At 49.7% G+C, this 26,173-nt stretch overlaps 1 protein-coding gene and 1 long non-coding RNA gene across 2 annotated transcripts in view, besides 1 other annotated feature; both read left to right on the forward strand.

Annotated features, from left to right (window-relative positions):
- Positions 1–6,289: 6,289 nt before the first annotated feature.
- On the forward strand, positions 6,290–11,862 carry LOC105375352 (uncharacterized). The gene is made up of 3 exons (XR_001745244.2): positions 6,290–6,472; positions 9,859–9,990; positions 11,629–11,862. It is a non-coding gene; the product is annotated as an uncharacterized LOC105375352 (long non-coding RNA).
- Positions 22,996–23,105: a silencer, noted in NCBI's record as "silent region_18289". NCBI's record gives its function as "represses an Ori minimal core promoter by ATAC-STARR-seq in GM12878 lymphoblastoid cells {active_cell/tissue: GM12878}" and the evidence as "EXISTENCE:reporter gene assay evidence [ECO:0000049][PMID:35858748]".
- Positions 23,258–26,173, forward strand: part of CASTOR2 (cytosolic arginine sensor for mTORC1 subunit 2) — a 66,824-nt gene continuing 63,908 nt past the window's right edge. The window contains exon 1 of the mRNA NM_001145064.3: positions 23,258–23,651. Within this exon, the coding sequence (NP_001138536.1) occupies positions 23,539–23,651 (113 nt within the window). The 5' untranslated portion in view covers positions 23,258–23,538. The remainder of the gene's footprint in view (positions 23,652–26,173) is intronic.

Here is a 26,173-nt window from a genome sequence, read left to right on the forward strand (position 1 = left end):
CCAGCCTTCTATCTCCTTAGGCCTGGGGTGCGGATGACGCCTTACCCACTCACTCTGTTTGGGAGTTGAACAGTAAATTAAAGTGCTTCGTTATCTCATTTGAGAGTGGCGTAAAACACTTTGGAAAGGCTGGAGCATTCACAGCAATCAAGCTCTGAAAGGTTCTCAGTTGCTGGAAGGAATATCCTCTGATAGATTGCTCTTTTCTCTGAAACGTGGCTTACATCTCATGAGCAATTCCAGCAGTGTCCACTGCAGATGTTTTTGGCATCTTCACAAAGGAGTTAAAGAGATCAGACTCGTTCCCAAGAGAGAAAAATCATCTTTGCAATGTCCAAAAAGATTCCCTGGGCACAGCTCCCTCTGCTGTGACCTGCCAAGAAATTTTGGGGCTGCTTAGGACATGGGGTCATTCTCTAGCTCCAGTATACTCACCAGTGGTCAGTCACCACCTACGCATCGTGAGTCACTCCACAAACCTTAAATGAACATCATGTTGGGGAAGGCCATGCTTCGTCTCAGCCCTGCCCTCCCTGGGCTTACCATCCAAACTTGGCCCTGTGTAAATTCTACAGGATTCACCCCTGGTTTTCCTGTCCACTGACTCAAATGACCAACATCTCAACACCTTCCTGGGGGTCAGACATGCAGAGACTTGCATTTTCGTGATCATAAAATTGAGGTACAATGTATCCAAAATAAACCTTCAGAATCTCAGACTCCAGTCCTCTCCAGAATTAGTTTCCAGATTTTTAAACATTTAATTTTATTTTTAGAGAAGGGGTCTCACTATGTTGCCCAGGCTGTTCTTGAACTGCTGGGCTCAAGCAATCCTCCCATCTCAGCCTTCCAAAGTGCTGAGATTACAAGCATGAGCCACCATGCCTGGCCACTTAAAAATAATAATAATAATAATTTCTTGCTCTGTCACCCAGGCTGGAGTGCAGTGGTGCCATCATAGCTCACAGCAGCCTCAAACTTCCAGGCTCAGGTGATCCTCCCACTTCAGCCTCCCAAGCCACTGGGGGATGACAGGTGCTCACCACTGTGCCTGGCTACTTTTTTATTTTTTCATAGGGAGAAGGTCTTGCTAGGTTGCCCAGGCTGGTCTCAAACTCCTGGGCTGAAGTGAGCCTCCCACCTTGGCCTCCCAAAATGCTGGGGTTATAGGTATGAGCCACTGTGCCATCCCAGTTTCCAGAATATTAAAGAGCTTCTGTTGGGTTAGGCTTAGGAACAGGCAAAATAATAACAACAACAATTTTCCTCTGTTGGGCACTTCCCATTGGCCAGAACTGTACTCAGAACCAACACACATCACCCAGAATCCTTATAACAACCCCAATTTATAGATGGAAAAGTTGAAGCATGGAGGTATGAGTAGCAGGGGTGTGGAGGGCCTGCAACCTCTATCTTCCACCAGGTCAACCTTTTGGTTCTTAGAAACTGTGCAGGCAGGCACGTATGTTTATTGCGGCACTATTCACAATAGCAAAGACTTGGAACCAACCCAAATGTCCATCAATAATAGACTGGATTAAGAAATCCATTTATGGATTATGCAGCCATAAAAAAGGATGAGTTCATGTCCTTTGTAGGGACATGGATGAAGCTGGAAACCATCATTCTGAGCAAACTATCGCAAGGACAGAAAACCAAACACCGCATGTTCTCACTCATAGGTGGGAATTGAACGATGAAAACACTTGGACACAGGGTGGGGAACATCACACACCAGGGCCTGTTGTGCGGTGGAGGGAGTGGGGAGGGATAGCATTAGGAGATATACCTAATGTAAATGATGAGTTAATGGGTGTAGCACACCAGCATGGCACATGTATACATATGTAACAAATCTTCACATTGTGCACATGTACCCTACAACTTAAAGTATAATAAAAAAGAAAGAAAGAAAGAAAGAAAGAAAGAAACTGTGCAGGCAGGACAGGCATAATGGCTCATACCTGTAATCCCAGAATTTTGGGAGGCTGAGGCGGGCAGCTCACTTGAGGTCAGGAGTTCAAGACCAGCCTGGCTGACATGGCGAAACCCCGTCTCTACTAAAAATACAAGAATTACCCAGGCTTGGTGGCATGCACCTGTATTTCCAGCTAGTTGAGAGGCTGAGGCAGGAGAATTGCTTGAACCCAGGAGGCGGAGGTTGCAGGGAGCCAGGATCATGCCACTGCACTGCAGCCTGGGCAACAGAAACCGCACAGGCAAGTCCTCAGCCATGGATTAAGACCAAAAAGAAAGAAAAAAAAAATGCTGAAAGGGCACAAGCTGAGGAGTGGGGAGGAGAGGAGAAGAGGCAGATGGAAGTGAGCCCAGGTGCAGAGAGAGATAGGAGGGAATGACTGAGTGGCCTCTTGTCCTGCTGCAGCCTTTCCTATGGACAGCCTGGAGCTGTCATCCTCACCATGGTGCCTAGTGTTCCCTCACTGATCTGACTCATAGGTGTTCCTTTACCACCTCTGCCTGCTCAGTCCTGGGGCAGCCCTGGGGAGACCCAAGGAAAGCTGGGTCCACGTGCACCTTTCCTCCTAACCTCCTCTAGCCTCAGTCTCCCCATCTGTAGAAAGGGCACATGAATCCCTACCTCTCCAGAGGATCAGACGCAACAATGTACCCACGGGCACCACAGAGAAGCCCTGGACACACACCCGTTTCCTTCTTTTCCTCCTTCATAAGTCAGGAAAGAGTACAGAATACAAGCCATAAAGGGAGCCTGCCCTTAAGCCAGACTGCCAAAGAATTGCTTTGTCCATGCATTCATTCATTCATTCATTCATTCATTCATTCAACAGATACTTCCTGAGCATCTACTGTGTGCCAGGAAGAGCACTGAGGCTTTCCTTTCCTAAAGGCATTCTCTTTTCTTTCTTTCCTTTTTTTTTTTTTTTTTTTTTTGAGACAGAATCTCACTCTGTTGGCCAGACTGGAGTGCAGCGGTGCAATCTTGACTCACTGCAACCTCCGCTTCCTGGGTTCAAGAGATTCTTGTGCCCCACCACTCGAGTAGCTAGGATTACAGGCATGCATTGCCATGCTTGGCTAATTTTTGTAGCTGGGACTACAGGCACCTGCCACCATGCCGGGCTAATTTTTTGTATTTTTAGTAGAGACGGGTTTTCACCAAATTAGCAAGCATGGACTCAATCTCCTGACTTCGTGATCCCCCCACCTCGGCCTCCCAAAGTGCTGAGATTACAGGCATGAGCCACCACCGCACCCGGTCTTTTTTTTTTTTTTTTTTTTTTTTTTTTTGAGATAGAGTTTTGTTCTTGTTGCCCAGGCTGGAATGCAATGGCGTGATCTCGGCTCACTTCAACCTCCACCTCCCGGGTTCAAGCAATTCTGACTCAGCCTCCCAAGTAGCTGGGATTATAGGCATGCGCCACCACACCCAGCTAATTTTTGTATTTTTAGTAGAGATGGGGTTTTACCATGTTGACCAGGCTGGTCTTGAACTCCTGACCTCATGTGATCCACCTGTCTTGGCCTCCCAAAGTGCTAGGATTACAGGAGTGAGCCACTGTGCCTGGCCTATGTCTTTCTTTCTTTCTGTTTTTAATTTATATTTGTTTGTTTGAGCCCCTCCTTTGACATCTGTTTGTTTTTGTTGTATTGTTTTTTTTTTTTTAGAGATAGGGTCTCATTCTGTCACCCAGGGTGGAGTGCAGTGGTGTGATCACAGCTCACTGCAACCTCCAATTCCTGGCCTCAAGTGATCCTCCTGCCTTAGCCTCCTGAGTAGCTGGGATGCAGGTGTGTGCTGCCACACCCAACTAATTTTTTTTAAATTTTAATATTTTCTTTTAGAGATAGAGTCTGGCTGTTTCACTCACGCTCCAGTGCAGTGGCAGGAGCATAGCTCGCTGCAACCTCAAATTCCTATGCTTAAGCAATCCTCCTGCCTCAGCCTCTTGAGTTGTTGAGGCACCTGTCATCACAACCAGCTGATTTCTTTTTTTATTATTACATTTTGTAGAGATGGGGTCTTGCTTTGTTGCCCAGGCTGGTCCTGAACTACTGGTTTCAAGTGATCCTCCCACCTCGGCCTCCCAAAGTGCTGGGATTACAGGCTTGAGCCACCACACCCGGCCTTGTCTGTTTTTTATAACCAAGCCACGGGTAACAAAAAGTCAGAAGAAAGTGTTGCCACCTCTGATGGCAAATCCCAAAAGGGGAGCTCAGATTTGTTTTGAGTGATGGTGGCATGGAACTAGAGACCTAGAAGAAGATTCAAGATCACAGGCCACCCCTTCTAGTTTACAGATAAAGAAACTGAGTCCCAGCTGGGCGTGGTGGCTCACACCTGTAATCCCAGCACTTTGAGAGGCAGAGATGGGCAGATCACCTGAGGTCAGGAGTTTGAAACCAGACTGGCCAACATGGTGAAACCCCATCTCTACTTAAAATACAAAAATTAGCCGAGCATGGTGGCTGGCACCTGTAATCCCAGCTACTTGGGAGGCTGAGGCAGGAGAATCGCTTGAATCTGGGAGGCAGAGGTTGCAATGGGCCAAGATTGCGCCATTGCACTCCAGCCTGGACAACAGCGAGACTCTATCTCAAAAAAAAAAAAAAAAAAAAAAGAAAGAGAGAAAGAAGAAACTGAGTCCCAGAGAGGAGACTGGCAGACATGAGAGCCCTGTGCCATCCCCAACCCCACCAGCTGCCACTTCTCCCAGCCTCCATTTAGTTATTTATTTGTTTGTTTGTTTGTTTATTCAATAAACTTTTTTTTTTTAGATGGAGTCTTGCTCTGTCACCTAGGCTGGAGTGCAGTGCCTCGATGTCTGCTGACTGCAACCTCCACCTCCCAGGTTCAAGTAATTCTCCCGCCTCAGCCTCCTGAGTAGCTGGGATTACAGGCATGAGCCACCACACCCAGCTACTTTTTGTATTTTTAGTAGAGACGGAGTTTCGCCATGTTGGCCAGGCTGGTCTCGAACTCCTGACCTCACCTGATTCACCCGTCTCAGCCTCCCAAAGTGCTGGGATTACAGGCATGAGCCACTGCACCCGGCCTATTCAATAAACATGTATTCAGTCTGTACCTACTGTTCTAGGGACTGTGGACAGAGCACTGAGCAAGATAGGAAAAAACCAGCATGCACTCTGGGTGAGTGTCAGCAGAGCCGGTCTCAGGGGGCATGAGCCATGCAATTACACACTCGGTTTCATGCTGTACGGTGGCCATTTTGAAATCCTTAATAATTTTTCAACAAGAGCCCTCAAGTTTCATTTTGGAACGGGCCCTGCAAATTATGTAGCCGGTCCTGTGTGTCAGGCCAAACTAGCAGATAAGGAAATGAGGCACAGAGAGGGAAATAAGTCCACCAAGGTTCACACAGGATGCAAGCCACACAGCTGGGATTGAAACCCAGGTTAGACTGGGTGCAGTGGCTCATGCCTGTAATCCCAGTACTTTGGGAGGCCAAGGTGGATGGATCATCTAAAGTCAGGAGTTCAAGACCAGCCTGACCAACACGGTAAAACTCCATCTCTACTAAAAATACAAAAATTAGCTGGGTGTGGTGTCTCACGCCTGTAATCCCAGCATTTTGGGAGGCCGAGGCGGGTGGATCACGAGGTCAGGAGATTGAGACCATCCTGGCTAACACGGTGAAACCCCGTCTCTACTAAAAATACAAAAAATTAGCCGGGCGAGGTGGCAGGTGCCTGTAGTCCAAGCTCCAAGCTACTTGGGAGGCTGAGGCAGGAGAATCGCTTGAACCTGGAAGGCAGAGGTTGCAGTAAGCCGAGATCGTGCTGCTGCACTCCAGCCTGGGCAACAGAGTGAGACTCCAAAAAAAAAAGGAAAGAAAGAAAGAGAGAGAGAAAGAAAGAGAAAGAAAGAAGAGATGAAAGAAAGAAAGAAAGAAAGAAAGAGAAAGAAAGAAGAGATGAAAGAAAGAAAGAAAGAAAGAAAGAAAGAAAGAAAGAAAGAAAGAAAGAAAAGAGAAAGAAAGAAAAGAGAAAGAAAGAAAGAAAGAGGAGGGGAGGGGAGGGAGAGGGGAAGGGAAAGGGAGGGGGAGGGGAAGGGGGAGGGGAGGGAGAGGGGAAGGGGGAGTGGAGGGCGAGGGAAAGGGGAGGGGAAGGAGAGGGGAAGGGGAGGGGAAGGAGAGGAGAAGGGGAGGGGAAGGAGAGGAGAAGGGGAGGGGAAGGAGAGGAGAAGGGGAGGGGAAGGAGAGGAGAAGGGGAGGGGAAGGAGAGGGGAAGGGGAGGGGAAGGAGAGGGGAAGGGGAGGGGAAGGGAAGGGGAAGGGAAGGGGAAGGGAAGGGGAAGGGAAGGGACCCAGGCTAACAGACTCCAGATACCAGCAGCAGCCCTTGAGCCATGTTGCCTAATTGTCCCCAAGGAGAAAACTTCCCAGGTCTTCGGAGGCAGCAAAAGCTTTCCTGGCACAGAGCTAGAAAAGAAGATTCTCATGGTGTCTCATGTGGCAGGAACTACAGGAGCTGGGGTGGGTAATCCATTTAGGCCACTTGACAAACACCTATTTTTAGGTCAACTCTGAGAATAGAAAGATGAAAAAGGAGTGGCCTCTGCCATCCTGGAGCTAAGCAACTGGTATAAGGGAAGTGACAGCCCCCATGGAATCGGACCATTTCAACTTCATGCGATGAATGACAGGTCAGGGCTTCTGGGCATGACCATAGGAATGACCACAGCTAACATTGACCATGGGCCTAATTTGTGTGCTGTTTGCTTTTTTTTTTTTTTTGAGACAGAGTCTCACTCAAGTCACCAGGCTGGATGGAGTGCAGTGGTGCAATCTCAGCTCACTGCAACCTCCGCCTCCCAGGTTCAAGCGATTCTCCTGCCTCAGCCTCCCGAGTAGCTGGGATTACAGGCGCGCACCAGCACGCCCAGCTAATTTTTGTATTTTTAGTAGAGACGGGGTTTCACCATGTTGGCCAGGATGGTCTCAATCTCTTGACCTCGTGATCCACCCACCTCACCCTCCCAAAGTGCTGAGATTACAGGCGTGAGCCACTGCGCCCAGCCATGCTGTGCGCTTTTTAGCATTTTCTTCAGTTTTTGTTGCAACCTATGAGTCAGGAACTCTTATTATGCTATTTTACCTAGGAGGAAAAGAGCATTCACAGAGATTAAACAGTGTGTTCAGGCCGGGTGTGGTGGTAATCACATCCATGACCGTAATCCCAGCACTTTGGGAGGCCAAAGCGGGAGGATTGCTTGAGTCCAGGAATTCAAGACCAGCCTGGGCAACTTAGTAAAACCTCCATCTCTTTTGTAAAAAAATAAATAATAAAATACTTTAGGAGGCCAAGGCAGGCAGATCACTTGAGGTCAGGAGTTCAAGATCAGCCTGGCCAACATGGTGAAACCCCGTCTCTACTATAAATACAAAAATTAGCTGGGTGTGGTGGCATGCGCCTGTAGTCCCAGCTACTCAGGAGGCTGAGGCAGGAGAATTGCTTGAACCTGGGAGGCAGAGGTTGCAGTGAGCTGAGATCACGCCACTGCACTCCAGCCTGGGTGACAGAGCGAGACTCTGTCAAAAAATAATAATAAAAATAATCATAAAATAAGATAAAAATATAAATAAAAAATAAACAACATGCCTAAAACCACGCAGCTAGAAGAAGGCAGTGTCAGAACTCAGCTATGTCTGACATCAGAGACCACGATTTTTTTTTTTTTTTTGAAATGGAGTCTTGCTCTTGTCACCCAGGCTGGAGTGTAATGGGACGATCTCAGCTCACTGCAACCTGCGCCTCCCAGGTTCAAGCAATTCTCCTGCCTCAGCCTCCCAAGTAGCTGGGATTACAGGCGCCCGCCACCACACCTGGCTAATTTTTGTATTTTTAGTAGAGACAAGGTTTCACCATGTTGGCCAGGCTGGTCTCGAACTCCTGACCTCATGATCTGTCCACCTCAGCCTCCCAAAGTGCTGAGATTACAGGCATGAGCCACCACGCCCCCCGGCCTTTTTTTGTTTTTGTTTGTTTGTTTGTTTTTTGTGGTTTTTTTTTTCTTTTGAGGTGGAGTCTCCCTCTGTTGCCCAGGCTGGAGTGCAGTGGCGCGATCTCGGCTCACTGCAAGCTCCATCTCCTGGGTTCACGCCATTCTCCTGCCTCAGCCTCCAGAGTAGCTGGAACTACAGGCACCCACCACCATGCCCAGCTAATTTTTTGTATTTTTTAGTAGAGACGGGGTTTCACCGTGTTAGCCAGGATGGTCTCGATCTCCTGACCTTGTGATCTGCTCGCCTAGGCCTCCCAAAGTGCTGGGATTACAGGCGTGAGCTACAGCGCCCGGCCTTTTTTTTTTTTGAGACAGTCTCTGTCGCCCAGGCTGTAGTGTAGTGGTACAATCTCCACTCACTGCAACCTCCGCCACCTAGGTTCAAGTGATCAAGTGATTTTCCTGCCTCAGCCTCCCAAGTAGCTGGGATTACAAGCATACACCACCACACCCAGCTAATTTTTGTATTTTTAGTAGAGGGGTTTTGCCATATTGGCCAGTCTGGTCTTGAACTCCTGGCTTCAAAGTGATCTGCCAGCTTGGCCTCCCAAAGTGCTGAGATTACAGGCATGAGCCACCATACCTGGCCAGAGACCATGATCTTAACGAGCATATGGCCCTGCCCCAAAGAACTGTGGACATACAGATGAGAGGCAGGTACCCCACACTGCTGGGAAAAATCACAGAAAGCTTCCCGGAGGAGGTGATGACAGAGGTGAAATAAATATGGATCTGTCAGCCTGTACAAGGGTCAGAGGCCATGAGAGAGTATGGAAGAGGGAGAGAGATCTTTCACTGGAGGGTAAAGTACTAGGCTGGGAATGGTGGCAGATGGGACCAGAGATATAAGCAAAGACCACACCACAGTGAGCCTTGAATGCCAAGTACATCAGTTATGGGTCTTAGCTGCAAGCAACAGAATCCATTCTGGTCAGTCTACATAGCAAAGAAATGAATGAATGAATTTATTTATTTATTGAGACGAATTCTTGCTCTATCGCCCAGGCTGGAGTGCAGTGGCACGATCTTGGCTCACCGCAACCTCTGCCTCCAGGGTACAAGCCATTCTCCCGCCTCAGCCTCCCGAGTAGCTGAAATTACAGGCATGTGCCACCATATCCAGCTAATTTTTGTATTTTTAGTAGAGATGGGGTTTCACCATATTGGCCAGGCTGGTCTCGAACTCCTGACCTCAAGTGATCCACCCCCCTTGGCCTCCCAAAGTGCTGGGATTACAGGTGTGAGCCACCTCACCTGGCCAGAAATTTATTTTTAATATGTCAAGTAAACTGACCAGGTGTGGTGGCTCACAACCGTCATCCCAGCTCTTTGGGAAGCCAAGGCAGGAGGATCACTTGAGGCCAGGAGTTTGAGACCAGCCTGGGCAACATAGCAAGACTCCATTTCTACCACACACACACACACACACACACACACACACACAGAGACAAAATTAGCCGGCGTGAGGCTTGAATGCCAACTGCATCAGTTATGGGTCTTAGTTGCAATCAACAGAATCCATTCTGGTCAGTTTACATAGCAGAGGAATTTATTTTTAAAACATCAAGTAAACTGGCCAAGTGTGATGGCTCCTATCAGTAATCCCAGCACTTTGGGAGTCCGAGGCGGGCAGATCACCTGAGGTCAGATCACCTGCGGTCAGGAGTTCAAGACCAGCCTAGCCAACATGGTGAAACCCTGTCTGTATTAAAAATATGGGAGGCTGAGGAGGGAGGATCACTTGAGCCCAGGAGATTGAGGCTGCAGTGAGCTATGATCACACCACTACTCTCCAGCCTGAGTGACAGAGTGAGACTGTCTCAAAGAAAATTAATTTTTTTTTGTACACTATCACAGCCAAGAAGAGCCCAAGAAGACATTACTACTAACTGTCACATGGTGTCACGGATGGGATCTTCGGACAGAAAAAGGAAATTGGGCCAGGCGCGGTGGCTCACGCCTATAATCCCATCACTTTGGGAGGCTGAGGTGGGTGGATCACCTGAGGTCGGGAGTTCAAGACCAGCCTGACCAACATGGAGAAAACCCCGTCTCTACTAAAAATACAAAATTGGCCAGGGTGGTGGCGCATGCCTGTAATCCCAGCTGCTCGGGAGGCTGAGGCAGGAGAATCACTTGAACCCGGGAGACGGAAGTTGCGGTGAGCCAAGATCGCGCCATTGCACTCCAGCCTGGGCAACAAGAGTGAAACTCCGTCTCAAAAAAAAAAAAAAAAAAGAAAGAAAAAAAAAAGAAAAGAAAAAGGAAATTGGTAAAAATTAAGGAGATCTAACTAAAGTATGGACTTAAGTTAATTACAATGTATTAATTTCAGTTCATTAACGGTAACAAATATACTATACCAGTGCAAGATGTTAATAAAAGGGGGAAATGGTACAGGATATATGCAAATCCTACTGTCTTAACAATTTTTCTGTAAATTTAAAACCATTGTAAGATGAAGAGTCTATTTTTAGAGTACTGAGTAAATTGTATGGAACTAAACACACACGCACAATTACATGTAAAACTGGTAGAACCTGGATAAGTTCAGTGGATGGTATCAAAGGCAATTTCCTGGTTGTGAGATTGTACTACAGTTTTGCAAGCTGTTACCATTGGGGGAAATTGCATGAAGGGCACGAGGGCTCTCTGGGTATTAATGTCTTACAATTGCAAGTGAATCTACAATTATCTTAAGATAACAAGCCTAATTTTATTTATTTATTTTATAGAGACAGGCTTTCACTGTATTGGCCAAATTTGTCTCAAACTCCTGGCCTCGAGCGATCCTCCCACCTTGGCCTCCCAAAGTGCGGAGATTAGACATGAGCTATATAGTACCCGGCCAAAAAGCTTAATTTTAAAACATTGAACAGAGAACAGGATCTTTTGGAAAGCTGAAGAAATAAAGTCTAGGCTTAAAGTTATAGGACCCTTACCCAGCACCATGGGGCAGAACTGTCCTGATAAGAAAATGAAGCTGTGGGCCAGGCACAGTGGCTGATGCCTGTAATCCCAGCACTTTGGGAGGCTGAGGTGGGTGGATCACTTAAGGTCAGGAGTTCGAGACCAGCCTAGCCAACATGGTGAACCCCCATCTCCGCTATACAAAAATTAGCCGGGTGTGGTGGGGGGCGCCTGTAGTCCCAGCTACTTGGGAGTCTAAGGCATGAAAATCACTTGAATCTAGGAGGCGGAGATTGCAGTGAGCTGAGATCACACCACTGAACTCCAGCCTGGGCAACAGAGCAAGACTCTGTCTCAAAAAAAAAGAGAGAGAGGGAGGGAGGGAAGGAGAGAGGGAGGGAGGGAGGAAGGAAGGAAGGAAGGAAGGAAGGAAGGAAGGAAGGAAGGAAGGAAGGAAGGAAAGAAAGAAGGAAGGAAGAAAATGAAGCTGTGGCAGCTTCCACAGCCACACCTTCTCCAGGACTTCACCTTTCTAAATGTCAAGTTGTATTTTCCCAAAATGGCTACAAAAGTAACTTCATCCAACATGCTCTTCTGCAAAGTAACTTTGTCCTCCTCCATCAAGAAGCAGGGTCTATGACCCTGTCTTAGTCTGTTTTTGTTGCTATAAAGGAATACCTGAGGCTGGGTGATTTATAAAGGCTCGTGGTTCTGCAGGCTGTACAAGAAGCATGGTGCCAGCATCTGCTGCTAGTGAGGACCGCAGGAAGCTTCCTATCATAGTGGAAGATGAAGGGGGGCCGACAAGATCACGTGGTGAGCAACAGACATGCCAGGTTCTTTCAAAGATCCAGCTCTTTGAAAGAATGAGTGAAAAGAGCAAGAATTCACTCATTACCACAGGGAGGGCACCAAGCCATTCATGAGGCATCTGCCCCCATGACCCAAACACCTCCCACTTGGCCTCATCTCCAATACTGGGGATCACATTTCAACACGAGATTTAGAGGGGACAAATATTCAGACTATATCAGCCCCCTCCCCTAACTCAAGCTGGGGTTGTACCTGTTTCAACCCAGAGAATACCATGCAGGTGACATCCCTATGATTTCTTTTTTTGTGTGTTGTTTTGAGATGGAGTCTTGCTCCGTTGCCCAGGCTGGAGTGCAGGGGCGCAACCTCGGCTCACTGCAACCTCTGCCTCCTGGGTTCAAGCAATTCTCATGCTTCAGCTCCCGAGTAGCTGAGACTGTAGACATGCACCACCACGCCTGGCTAATTTTTGTATTTTCAGTAGAGACAGAGTTTCACCATCTTGACCAGGCTGGTGTCAAACTCCTGGCCTCAAGTGATCTGCCCACCTCAGCCTCGCAAAGTGCTGGGATTATAGGCACGCACCACCACACCCAGCTAATTTTTGTATTTTTAGTAGAGACGGAGTTTCACCATGTTGGCCAGGCTGGTGTCAAACTCCTGGTCTCAAATGATCCACCCACCTCAGCCTCTCAAAGTGGTGGGATTACAGGCTTGAGCCACCGCGTCCAGCAGCCACCGCACCCAGCTTGATTTCTGAGGTTAGGTCATAAAAGGCCATGTGGCTTCCAGCTGACTTTCTTGGCACATTTGCTCTCCAGACTCTCCCTGCGATATCCTCTCTGGGAATCCAGCTGCCAAGCTGTGAGAAGCCCTAGCCCCATGGAGAGAGGCACCCGTCAACCAGGCTTCAGACACAGAGTAAAGAAGCTTCCAGGCGACCCCAGCCCCCAGGCATCCAAATCACCGCCAGCATTCAGGTCTTTCCAAGTAAAGGCCAGATACCACAGAGCAAAGACAAACTGTTCTCACAGGCCCTGTCTGAATTAGCAACCTATAGAATTTGTGAGTTCAGGCCAGGCACGGTGGCCCACACCTGTAATTCTAACACTTTGGGAGGCAGACGTGGGAGAATCACTTGAGATCAGGAGTTTGAGACCAGTCTGGGCAACATGATGAAACTCCATCTCTACCAAAAAATACAAATATTAGCCAGGTGTGGTGGTGTGTGCCTGTAGACCCAGCTACTTGTGAGGCTAAGGTGGGAGGATCGCTTGAGGCTGCAGGGAACCGTGATGACGCCACTGCACTCCAGCCTGGGTAAGAGTGAGACCCTGTCTCAAAAAAAAAAAGAATTCTCCAGCACTTTGGGAGGCCGAGGCGGGAGGATCACCTGAGATCAGGACTTCCAGACCAGCCTGGCCAACATGGTGAAACCCCGTCTCTACTAAAAATACAAAAAAAAAATTAACTGGGCATTGTGGTGTGCACCTGTAATCCCAGCTACTCGGGAGGCTGAGGCATGAGAATTGCTTGAGGCAGAGGTTGCAGTGACTGAGATTGTGCTACGGCACTCCAGCCTGGGTGATGGAGTGAGGCTTCGTCTCAAAAAAAAAAAAAAAAGAAGAATTAATGAGTTAATATAATGTCATGTCCTATTTTCCTTCCTTCCTGCTTTTTCTTTCTTCTTTCTTTCTTTCTTTCCTCTTTCTTTCTTTCTTTCTTTCTTTCTTTCTCTTTTTCTTTCTTTCTTTCTTTCTTTCTCTTTCTCTCTCTCTTTCATCTTTTCTTTCTTTCGTCTTTGTTTTCTTTCTTTGGCCTTTCCTTTCTTTCTTTTGTCTTTCTTTTCTTTCATTCTTTCTTTTTGACAGGGTCTTGCCTGGCTGCCCAGACAACAGTGCAGTGGTGCAATCACAGCTCACTGCAGCCTTGAACTCCTCAGTTCCAGTGATTCTCCTGCCTCGGCCTCCCAAGTAGTTGGGACAACAGACGTGCGCCACCATCCCCAGCTATTTTTTTAAAAAAATGTTTTAAGACAGGATCTTGCTAGTCTCAAACTCCTGGTCTCAAGCAATCCTCCCATCTCAGCCTCCCAAGTTGTTGGGATTACAGGCATGAGCCACCGTGCTTAGAGGCATAAGCCACTGCACCGGGCTATTTTGTCATTTTTCTCCACTAAGTGTGAGCTATGTAGTATACAGTAATTGTTACCAGACAAATCCCTGCTGCCTTCTCTGAAATCCCATCCATGAACCTTGTGCTCACTTCTGAACCTGAGCCATACACAGGTCTGATGTGCCTGCATCTTAGCCACAGGGAGGCTGCAGAAGCTCACCTTGTGAAGACAAAGCTTGTGACATGGGAAATCATCAAAATCTATGCCGGGCGGCCGCCATGCACAGAAGGCCACTAGGTCAGACCAAGTGTGGACTAACGGTAGCCTGTAACAGAAGAGACCTCCCCTCATCGCACCCAGCCCCATCATGATTTGAACCTCTCTAGAACCTGCCATGTTGAATTGGGTGCTGACTTCACTCTGCTATTTTTTTTTTTTTTTTTTTTTTGAGACAGAGTCTCACTCTGTCGCCCAGGCTGGAGTGCAGTGGCATGATCTCGGCTCACTGCAACCTCTGCCTCCCAGGTTTCAGCAATTCTCCTGGCTCAGCCTCCTGAGTAGCTGGGATTATAGGCGCCCGCCACAACACCAAGTTAATTTTTTTGTATTTTTAGTGGAGATGGGGTTTGGTTTCACCATGTTGGCCAGGCTGGTCTCAAACTCCTGAACTCAAGTGATCCGCCTGCCTCGACCTCCCAAAGTGCTGCCAAAATATTAGCATTTTGACCAGGCACAGTGGTTCACATCTGTAATCCCAGCACTTTGTGAGGCTGAGGCAGGCAGATCACCTGAGGTCAGGAGTTCGAGACAAGCCTGGTCAACATGGTGAAACCCCGTCTCTACCAAAAATACAAAAATTAGCTGGGCATGATGACGCGCGCCTGTAGCTCCAGCTACTCAGGAGCCTGAGGCAGGAGAATCGCTTGAACCCGGGAGGCAGAGGTTGCAATGAGCCAAGATGGTGCTGCTGCACTCCAGCCTGGGCGAGGGAGCAAGACTCCATCTCAAAAAAAAAAAAAAAAAAAAGTTGGTGCGGGGGCTCACGCCTGTAATCCCAGCACTTTGGAGGCCGAGGCGGGCAGATCACTTGAGGTCAGGGGTTCCAGACTAGCCTGGCCAACACAGTGAAACCCTGTCTCTGCTGTAAAAAAAAATTAGCTGGGCGTGGTAGCGCATGCCTGTAATCTCAGCTACTCAGGAGGCTGAGGCAGGAGAATCACTTGAACACAGGAGGCAGAGGTGGCAGTGAGCCAAGATTGCACCACTGTACTCCAGCCTGGGTGACAGAGTGAGACTCCATCTCAGAAAAAAAAAAAAAAAGTGTTTCAACATATAATCAATATTTTTAAATTATTAATAAAATACTTTGAAGTTTTTTCATAATAATCTTTGCAATCCAGGGTTCATTTTACACATGATAGCACATCTCAGTTTGGATGCTTAATTTTCATTCACAATACTCGATCTGTATTTAGAGTTCATAGATTTACATAAGTAAATTGTTTCAAAGTCCTGTGACCAATTTGTCTTCCTGGAGAATGTCCTGGTTTCAAAAATGAAAGTCTTACATCTTGAAATTCTCCTTGGTCCCAGGAAAATCAGGGCAGTTGGTCAACCTCTTCCAAACATACTTGGAGATTTTTCTTTTTTTTTTTTTTTTTTTCTTTGAGACATAGTCTCACTCACTCTGTCGCCCAGGCTGGAGTGCAGTGGCGCCATCTTGGCTCACTGCAACCGCCATCTCTCAGGTTGAGGTGATTCTCCTGCCTCAGCCTCCCTAGTAGCTGGGATTACAGGCACATGCGACCATTCCCAGCTAATTTTTTTGTAATTTTAGTAGAGACAGGATCTCACCATATTGACCAGGTTAGTCTCGAACTCTTGACCTCAAGTGATCTGCCCAACTCAAGCCCCTCAACATGCTGGGATGACAGGCGTGAGCCAGTGCACCCAGCTGGGTTTTGTTTTTTGGTTTGTACTGTGTTTGTTTTGTTTTTTTGAGATGGAATCTCACTCTATTGCCCAGGCTGGAGTCAGTGGTGCAATCTCAGCTCACTGTAACCTCCGCCTCCCAGGTTCAAGCGATTCTCCTGCCTCAGCCTCCCGAGTAGCTGAGATTACAGTCACTCACCACCATGCCCTGCTAACTTTTGTATTTTTAGTAGAGGCAGGGTTTCACCACGTGGACCAGGCTGGTCTCAAATTTCTGACATCAGGCGATCCACCTGCCTCAGCCTCCCGAAGTGCTGGGATTACAGGCATAAGCCACCGTACCTGGCCTGTTTTTTGTTTGTTTGTTTGTTTGTTTTTTGAGACAGAGTCTAGTTGCCCAGGCTGGAGTGCAATGGCGTGATCTTGGCTCACTGCCACCTCCGCTTCCCCGGTTCAAGCGATTCTCCTGCCTCAGCCCCTCAAGTAGCTGGGATTACAGGTGCATGCCACCATACCCAACTAATTTTTTTTTTGTATTTTTAGTAGAGATGGGGTTTTCACCATGTTGGCCTAGCTGGTCTCAAACTCCTGACCTCAAGTGATCTGCCTGTCTTGGCCTCCCAAAGTGCTGGGATTACAGGCATGAGCCATCATGCCTGGCCAGCAAGCAAGACATAGGGTTTATTGAGGGGACTTACAGGGTAGTCCAGACATGGCAGGTGGAACAGGAGAACCACACCTGCTTATAAAAAGCATGCAGTTGGGCCCAGCACGGTGGCTCATGCCTGTAATCCCAGCACTCTGGGAGGCCAAGGCGGGTGGATCACAAGGTCAGGAGATCGAGATCATCCCGGCTAACACAGTGAAACCCCGTCTCTACTAAAAATACAAAAAATTAGCTGGGCGTGGTGGCGGGCACCTGTAGTCCCAGCTACTCAGGAGGCTGAGGCAGGAGAATGGCATGAACCTGGGAGGCGGAGCTTGCAGTGAGCCGAGATGGCGCCACTGCACTCCAGCCTGGGTGACAGAGCAAGACTCCATCTCACAAAAAAAAAAAAGCATGCAGTTTATAGAGCATTTCCACTTAGCACCCTCCCCCTAGCACCCTCCCTCTGGCAACCTTCATTTAACCCCAAACAAAGGCCACCATCCCCTAGATGGTCCAGGGGTTCAGATGTTCCTCATAGATAAGAAATGAATCTCCGGGTTGGCCACTCCTGGATTCCTTAGCTTAGAACTTTCAACACATACTCTTCTTAGACCATGGGGTCATTTTCAAGGTATGCTGATGTTACTGTTGCCAGATGTGTTTGCCATGCATCATAGCTAACCACTAGGAAGTTCTATAAGTGAGGGAGGGCCTTAAGAACATACTCTGAGCTGGAAGTGTCAAGTTGGAGGCCCTTGACATTAGAAGCCAGAGACTGGGTACACCCACATAGTGAGAGAAGGTGAGGGCTGCGGGGATGTGTCAGCTATATCCATTGCTACCCAACAAACCATTCCAAGTCTTAATGACGAAAAATAACTTTTTTTTTTTTTTTTGTCAGAGGCAGGTTCTCACTCTGTCACCCAGGCTGGAATGCAATGGTGCAAACACGGCTCACTGCAGTCTCAACCTCCTGGGCTCAAGTGATCCTCCCACGTCAGCCTCCGAAGTAGCTGGAACTACAGGCGTGCGTCACCATGCCCAGGTAATTTTTGTATTTTTTTGTAGAGAAAGGGTTTTGCCATGTTGCCCCGCCTGGTCTTGAAGTCCTGACCTCAAGGGCTCCACCCGCCTTGGCCTCCCAAAGTGCTGGGATTACAGGTGTGAGCCACTGTGCCCAGACAACAGCTATTTTTTTTGGGGGGGCGGGGGACAGAGTCTCGCTCTGTCACCCAGGCTGGAGTGCAGTGGCGCAATCTCAGCTCACTGCAAGCTCCACCTCCTGGGTTCATGCCATTCTCCTGCCTCAGCCTCCCAAGTAGCTGGGACTACAGGTGCCCGTCACCATGCCCGGCTAATTTTTTGTATTTTCAGTAGAGACGGGGTTTCACCATGTTAGCCAGGATGGTCTCAATCTCCTAACCTTGTGATTCACCTGCCTTGGCCTCCCAAAGTGCTGGGATTACAGGCGTGAGCCATTGTGCCCAGCCAACAGCTATTTTTTATTCATCGTGTTTCTATTGGTTGGCTGGATAGTTCTGGTTTCACCTGGGCTCATGTGTGTGGCTGCACTCAGTTAGACAGTCAGATGCAAAGCCCAAGATGGTCTCGTTCACATCTTAGCATGCTCTAGTAGTTGGTGCTAGCTGTTGGCAGAGGCCTGACACAGCTGGAACACCTGGACCTCTTCATGTGATCTTTCTTGCAAGCTTCTTTACAGCGTGATGGTCTCAGGGCAGCATTCTTTCCGAGAGGGCAAGTCCCAATGCACAGGACTTAGGGAGCAGATTTGCCAATACCCCATTGGCCAAAGCCGTGAAAATCACATAGCCAGACCTAGAGTCAATCAGTGAAAGACCAGAAAAGGGCAGTGCTAAGGAACCCAAAGAGGAGGGAATTCTACCAGGACGGTGCCCATCCAACACTTGTGTTACCTTGGGAGCCAGTACCTCCTTAAATTCAGGGCCCAAAGTGCCTCAACTTGCTTCACCCCAATTCCAGCCTGAATCCTCAGGACTTGGCAACTCAGAGGTCAATTTCCTTAACACCCCAACATGAATTTCGGAAGTTAGTTTCACAGAAATCTTAAGCACCAAATACAACTGAGCGAAAGCAATTCTGCAAGTCAAAAACAAGGTGGTCTAAATTTGCAAACTTTATGGCAGTCTGGCTTGATGAAATATAAAGCCCACAATGCTTTTAAACAGTTTTGGCCAGGCACAGTGGCTCACGCCTGTAATCCCAGCATTTTGGGAGGCTGAGGCGGGCAGATCACCTGAGGCCAGGAGTTTGAGACCAGCCTTGCCAACATGGTAAAACCCCGTCTCTACTAAAAATACAAAAATTGGCTGGGCGTGGTGGCTCACACCTGTAATCCCAGCACTTTGAGAGGCCAAGGTGGGTGGATCACGAGGTCAAGAGATCAAGACCATCCTGGCCAACATGGTGAAACCTTGCCTCTACTAAAAATACAAAAATCAGCTGGCATGGTGGCACATGCCTCTAGTCCCAACTCCTCGGGAGGCTGAGGCAGAAGAATCACTTGACCCTGGGAGGAGGAGGTTGCAGTGAGCTGAGATCATGATGCTGCACTCCAGTCTGGCTACAGAGTGAGACTCTGTCTCAAAAACAAACAAAAAAATACAAAAATTAGCCGTGGGTGGTGGCGCGCGCCTGTAATCCCAGCTACTCGAGAGGCTGAGGCAGGAGAATTGCTTAAACCCAAGAGGCAGAAGTTGCAGTGAGCTGAGATCATGCCATTGCACTCTACCCTGGGTGACAGAGCAAGACCCTGTCTCAAAAAAAAAAAAAAAATATATATATATATATATATATATATATATATTTTTTTTTTTTTACCAAGACCCACAGTAAAACATACCTTTATATCAAGTTCTAGTGCACATAGGCAGACACACACAGGCACGCACCCCTTACACACATGGACAAGATTAAAGTGCCCTGGGGTATAGAAAAGATGATAGTAACCTACCCATTTTATATGCAACACTGTGTCATTTTCTAGTCTATTTAAAATTTTTTTTGTGTTTTTTTTTGCCGGGAATTTTTCCATTTTGTTGAAGAGACGATGTCACTCTGTTACTCAGGCTAGAGTCCAGTGGTACAATAATAGTTCACAGCGGCCGGGCACAGTGGTTCACGCCTATAATCCCAGCACTTTGGGAGGCCGAGGCAGGTGGATCAAGAGGTCAGGCGTTCAAGACCAGCCTGGCCAACATAGTGAAACCCCGTCTCTACTAAAATAAAAATAAAAATAATTAGCTGGGCATGGTGGCAGGCACCTGTAATCCCACCTACTTGGGAGGCTGAGGCAGGAGAAATGCTTGAACCTGGGAGGCAGAGGTTGCAGTGAGCCGAGATTGTGCCACTGCACTCCAGCCCGGGGAACAGCGTGAGACTCCATCTCAAAAAAAAAAAAAAAGAAAAGAAAGAAAGAAAAAAAAAACAATAATAGTTCACTGCAGCTCCGAACTCCTGGGCCCAAGGGATCCTCCCACCTCAGCCTCCTGAGTAACTAGGACTACAGGTGCACGCCACCACATCTAGCTAGTTTCTTATATTTTTATTTTTGTAGAGATGAGCAGTCTTGCTATGTTGCCCAGGCTGGTCTCAAACTCCCGGCCTCAAGAGATCCTCTTGCCTTGGCCTCCCAAAATGCTGAGATTACAGGCATCAGCCACTGTACCCAGCCTGTTTAATTATTTTTTTAAATAATTGCCATGCCCTGCTAAATTGATTTCACCATCCACTACATGGGTCATACACAGTCTGCAGATTGAAAAATGCTACCTTAGGCCATCCAGAGCAGAAGTCAGAAAACTAGCCAAATCTTGCCTTTAGCCTTGTTTTGTTTCACCTGCTTTTTTTTTTTTTATTGTTGTTGTTTTGTTTTTTGTGTTTTTTTTTTTTGAGGCAGAATCTCATTCTGTCGCCCAGGCTGGAGTGCAGTAGTGCAATCTTGGCTCACTGCAACCTCTGCCTCCCAGGTTCAAGTGATTCTCCTACCTCAGCCTCCCAAGTAGCTGGGATTACAGATGCACACCACCATGCCTGGCTAATTTTTGTATTTTCAGTGGAGACGGGGTTTCACCATGCTGGCCAGGCTGGTCTTGAACTCCTGTCCTTGTGATCTGCCTGCTTTGGCTTCCCAAAATGCTGGGATTATAGTTGTGAGCCACTGCACCCTGCCAGTTGTTTTTTTTTTTTTAAGAAACTGAATTTTATGCCTTCAGGCAGACTTCCCTTCACCTGTACCATTTCCAACATTTTTTTTTTTTTTTGAGATGGAGGCTCACTCTATCACCCAGGCTGGAGTGCAGTGGCGCGATCTCAGCTTACTGCAGCCTCCACCTCCTGGGTTCAAGCGATTCTCCTGCCTCAGGAGAAGGCACCACCATGCCCAGCTAATTTTTTTGTGTTTTTAGTAGAGACGAGGTTTCACCATGTTTGTCAGGCTGGTCTCAAACTCCTGACCTCAAATGATCTACCCTCCTTGGCCTCCCAAAGTGCTGGGATTACAGGCGTGAGTCACCGCGCCCAGCCACATTTCCAACTATCTGATAGCCAACTGCTTCACACATCTGTGTAATCTGTCTGGCCCCTGAATGCATTTCTGTTTGGGATTTCTGGATCTCTAGATTCTAAAGGCATAGATAGGTGCATTGATGCATTCCACAAATATTGAATGAGTGTCTCTCATAGGCCAGTCACTATTGCTGACAATGGGAACACAGCGGAGAACAGACAAAAATCACTGCCTTTGTGGAGTTGAGATTGTGTAGGGGAGAGACAGATAAGCTTTAAAAAAAAAATGCTGAGGCTGGAGGATCACTTGAGGCTGGGAGTTCGAGACTAGCCTGAACAACATAGTGAGACACCCCTCTCTACAAAAAGTAAAAAAAAAGGCCGGGTGTGGTGGCTCACGCCTGTAATCCCAGCAATTTGGGAGGCCGAGGCGGGCGGATCATGAGGTCAGGAGATCGAGACCATCCTGGCTAACACAGTGAAACCCTGTCTCTATTAAAAATACAAAAAAATTAGCCGGGTGTGGTGGCGGGCACCTGTAGTCCCAGCTACTCGGGAGGCTGAGGCAGGAGAATGGCGTGAACCTCGGAGGGGGAGGTTGCAGTGAGCCGAGATCGTGCCACTGCACTTCAGCCTGGGTGATGGAGCAAGATTCCGACTCAAAAAAAAAAAAAAAAAAGGCCAGGCATGGTGGCTTATTGGCTTATGCCTGTAATCCCAGCAGTTTGGGAGGCCGAAGTGGGTGGATCACCTGAGGTCAGGAGTTCAAGACCAGCCTAGGCAACATTGCGAAAAATACAAATATTAGCCAGCCGTGGTGGCCAGCACCTGTAATCCCAGCTAGCTGGGAGGCCAAGGCACGAGAATCGCTGAACCAAGGGGGAGGAGGTTGCAGTAAGCCAAGATCGCGCCATGGCACTCTAGCCTGGGCGACAGAGCAAGACTCCATCTCGGGGGGGAAAAAAGAAAGTTAAAAAAAAAAAAAAATTAGCCAGGCATAACTGTAGTCCCAACTGCTGGGGAAGCTGGGGTGGGAGGATCTTTTAAGCCCAGGAGTTCGAGGCTGTAGTGAGCTATGATTGCGCCCCTGCACTCCATCCTGGCCAACAGAGCAAGACCCTGTCTCTAAAAAATAAATAAATAAAAGAAAAAGAGTAAAAGAAAATAAAGTGGGAGGGGGATATGCATGCTCTAAGATCTATCTACCACAGATTACAGGCTTTTCACCCTTTTGTGGAAATGACAAAACCTAGTATGTTCCTACCTAACAGAGGAGGGCTGAGGGAAGGTGAGGGAGCACAACTGCAATTTTCCCCTGAAAGAGAGTTCTCAGCCTGCCCTGGCAGATAGATCTCACCCATCGCGTCCCCAGATTACTCTGCCAAAGGTGGAAGCACCAATCACTTTAACCCAGAACATTTCAAAACCAGACAGCCATGAAGGAGGAACCTCTGTGGTCCCGGCGCGTGGGCCCTGGGGTTGGAAGTGCCTCAGACGCACTTTACATTTTCCCCGAATTCACCCTTCGCAGTCCCCATCACCCCCTCTCCAGTGGGATAAATGGCCACCTCATTAGCTCTGCACACATGACCCTCCCGACCTGACTCCTGGTGACTATGCCTGCCTTATCTCTTTTCTCTCCTCCCTCACATTTTCCGCTGCAACAAAGCCAAACACAGCACCGTGGGGGCTTTCACGCTTCTGTGCCCTAGGACACGCTGTTCCTGCAGCCTGGAAGGCCTCTGTCCTCCATCCGCGCGCCCTCACTCTCTTGCTACGAACTCCCATTCATCCTTCAAAACCCAGCCTGAGTGTCCCCTCCCCCGGGTCACCCCCTTTGACCTGTCAATCCCCTCCCTCCGGGTCCCCAGCAAGCTTTTCGGTTTGGCTTCTCTGCACTCTCATGACCGATTGCCCTACATCTTGGCGCTCCCAGACTCGGGCCTTCTCCAGCACCGGAGTCGTCTGGTTTGCTCGCTTTACACTCCAAGCACCTAGTACCGAGCCTGACTGGGTGCCAGAGGGCGCGCCTAGGCTCAGGCTGGCTCCACCCGCCCCGTGCCTCCCCTCGGCCTTCCCCTTAGTCCTGAGGGTGCCCGCGCTCCTGCATTTCCCGTGCACCGGGCTGCCGGTAGCTCCGGCCGCCCAGCCCCCGCGGCAGCAACAGCAGCAACAGCACCGGGGGAGCCCCCCCCCAGGCGGACTACAAGTCCCGGCAGGCCGCGCGCGGGCCGCGCATGCGCAGCGGGGACCGGCGTTTGAGTGGCAAGTTGTTTGTTACAGCGAACACCAGCTGCTCCCCGCGCCGGGCGCCGCGCGCCGCTGCTCCGCCGCTCGGCCCCTCGGCTGCTGCTCCGCCGGCGCTGCCTCCCTCGCCCCGCGGCTCCCCCTTGCAACTTGGCGGGCCTCCTCCCTTTTGTCCGGCCCGGCCCGGCCGCCGCCGCCCCCCGCGCCCGGCGCCGAGCTCCCGGGTCTCCGGGCCGGCTGTCGGTGCCGGCAGGGCGCGGAGGGGGCGGGGGCCGCGGCTCGTCCCCCCGCGGATGAGCCGCCGCGGACGGGGCGCGGGCGGACGATGGAACTCCACATCCTGGAGCACCGGCTGCAAGTTGCCAGCGTCGCCAAGGAGAGTATCCCGCTGTTCACCTACGGCCTGATCAAACTTGCCTTCCTGTCCTCCAAGACCAGGTAAGCGCGCGGGGACGCGGCGCCGGCCGGGGACAGACAAAGGGGGCGCACCCCGGGCCGCTGTCCTCGCCGCCGCGCCTCGGAAAACAACTTCGGGCCCCGGGAGCGCCCCCGCCCCGCCCCCGCCGCCGCTTCGCTCGCGTCTGACAAAGCCGGAGCCGCAGGGTCCTGGCTCCCGGACCCCTCGCAACCTTCCACCCCCCGGTGCGCCACCCCCCACCTCTGTCGTCCCCCCCATCTCCCACCCCCTCCCCCATCGCAGCCCCCTCCCCGAAATCCGGGGGGCTGGGGCGGCTGCAGTGACGGATCCGTGAATGGATGAAGGAACGAACGAATGAATGAATGAAAAACAGGTGTGGGGACGAGGCCGTGGAAAAAACAAACGCCCCCATCCCCCCATCCCTCGGTTGGGCCGGCCCCGTCGCCACGGCGGGGGGAGGGATTCCGCTGAGCGCGGTTACCCAGAGCAGAAAATCATAAAATCATTAGTGGGTGTTTATCTCAAGGTGCCTACGAGGCTTGCTGCGGACGGCCTGGAATTGCGGGGGGGAAACGGGGGGTGGGCGAGGGCCAGGGAGGGGCTGCAGAGGACGTGATTCTTTCTCCTTGGGGTCCTGGAAAGGGGGTGGGGGGGTGTTTTGCCCAACCGTAGAAGGGGAGGAGCAGGCATGTTTATGCATCTGCCTTGAGGCTGGGCTTGGATGCTGCAGGGGGAAAAATAGTTGAAGGCCTTGGAAGGTAAAAGAGGGAATCACACACACACACACACACACACACACACACACTCTCTCTCTCTCTCTCTCTCTCTCTCTCTCACTTGGATTTTCCCTATGCCAGGTAAGGGTTTGACATTGTGAGCCCCGGTGGGTGCTTGCATTAGGGTTTTGTTGTTGTTGTTTAAGGAGCCTGAGCCGAGGGGAGTGTGAGTGCCAGCTAGCTGCTGTAACTTAAGTCTCATTTGCCCACCATTGTGACTGTTAAAAAGGAATGATAAAGTTGTTACTGGTTGGTTTTTCGCGGTTTGGGGCGGTGGTGGCTCTCCCTCACTGCAAAATGAATGAATACTTTTCGGGTCAAGGTTAGCGTGAAAATGACAGCCCCCTTAGGCTGCCCCCTTTGGCACTGAGCTCTAGGGACACAGGGAAATAATTCCAGCCTGTTATCTGCCTGTGAAAAGTTCTTGCTTGGAAATCTCACTTTGATGTGTGTGTCTGAGCCGGGTGCTCAGTCCGGCTATTGTTTGCGAGATGGAGCCAGACCTGCCGGTGGCATCTTGTTTACTTTCTTCTCCGGCTGCTCAGTAGGGGATGGAGATTTGAAATAGTCGCCAAGCCTCTGCCACGGAGCCTGTGCTCCCCGTTGATTGCAAAGGGTAATGATTAAACAGGTCATTTGAAAACAAAAGCCAACAGCTCGGATTCTGAACCGCGCCCCCACCCCTCACACAAAGCCCCCTCTGGCTGTTGACACCTTCAGATCCTGCTTCTGCCTGCCCTCTGCCCCCCACTCCCTAGCCGGGCTTGACGTTCCAAAGCTTGGAGGTAACAGAACAGCCTTGTTTTTCCTAGCCTTGGCCCTCAGCCCTGGGCAGCCCCCTGGCTGATTTCTCGGCCACCATTCAAATGAGAATGATGACTCAGGCTGCGGCTGTGCACAGGGCCTGGGTGCTGGAAGCGGGGGCATTTGGGGGCTTCTTAGAAAGGCAGCAAAGGGCAGGGTCCCTCAGCCCCTTTCCCTTGGTGGAGAGACTGGCCTTCTTCCAGCCCCCAACTCAGGATCCCCTTTGGGTACTCATGGATAGGCGTGTCTCTGGGGTCAAGCCCCCCTGCTGGCCTCTGGGAACACAAGAAGACCTGTCCCTCAGTGGGTCCCCCTTCCTCCCTCCTGCAGAAAGCAGCCTGTCCTGTCCCAGGCCCAGGTGACCCAGCTGACTAGTCCAGTTTCAAGATGACTCAGAGGCCAAAGGCCATCGCTGTGTTTCCATGGTCCGGCCTCAGAAGGTGCGGAACATTTGTCAAATGCCTGAGGACCTGCCACCCCATGCACTCTGAGCCCAGATCATGGCTTCAGGTCATGTGTGACCACAGCCCCCTGCCTGCCTGGCTGAGGCGAAGTCTGTCTCCTCTGGCTCACACTTCGTCCGTCTGTAAAATAGAGATAGCACTATTTGGCCCCCTCATGGACACAGAACTGCTGTGTGGATGGTGTGGGACGATTGTGGGAAATGGCTTTTTAGCAAGTGTTAATGGGTCGCAGCCTGCCGACATAGCATTTAAACTGTTTTCAATAATCAGCCATCCAGGTAGAACCCCTTAGATTGTTCCTGCAATCCCTGCCCCCAGGTGGTGACCCATAGCTCTGTCACTTCCCTCTCCAAAACCTAAGTTTAGCCCAGACTAGCACAGCATGCCCTGAGGGTCCCTGTGCCACCTGTTTACTTTTTTTTTTTTTTTTTTTTTTTTTTGAGACTGAGTTTTGCTCTTGTCCGGGCTGGAGTGCAATGGCGCCATCTCGGCTCACTG

The sequence above is a fragment of the Homo sapiens genome, chromosome 7, assembly GCF_000001405.40.
Source record: "Homo sapiens chromosome 7, GRCh38.p14 Primary Assembly".
In the NCBI taxonomy this organism is placed as follows: Eukaryota; Metazoa; Chordata; class Mammalia; order Primates; family Hominidae; genus Homo; species Homo sapiens.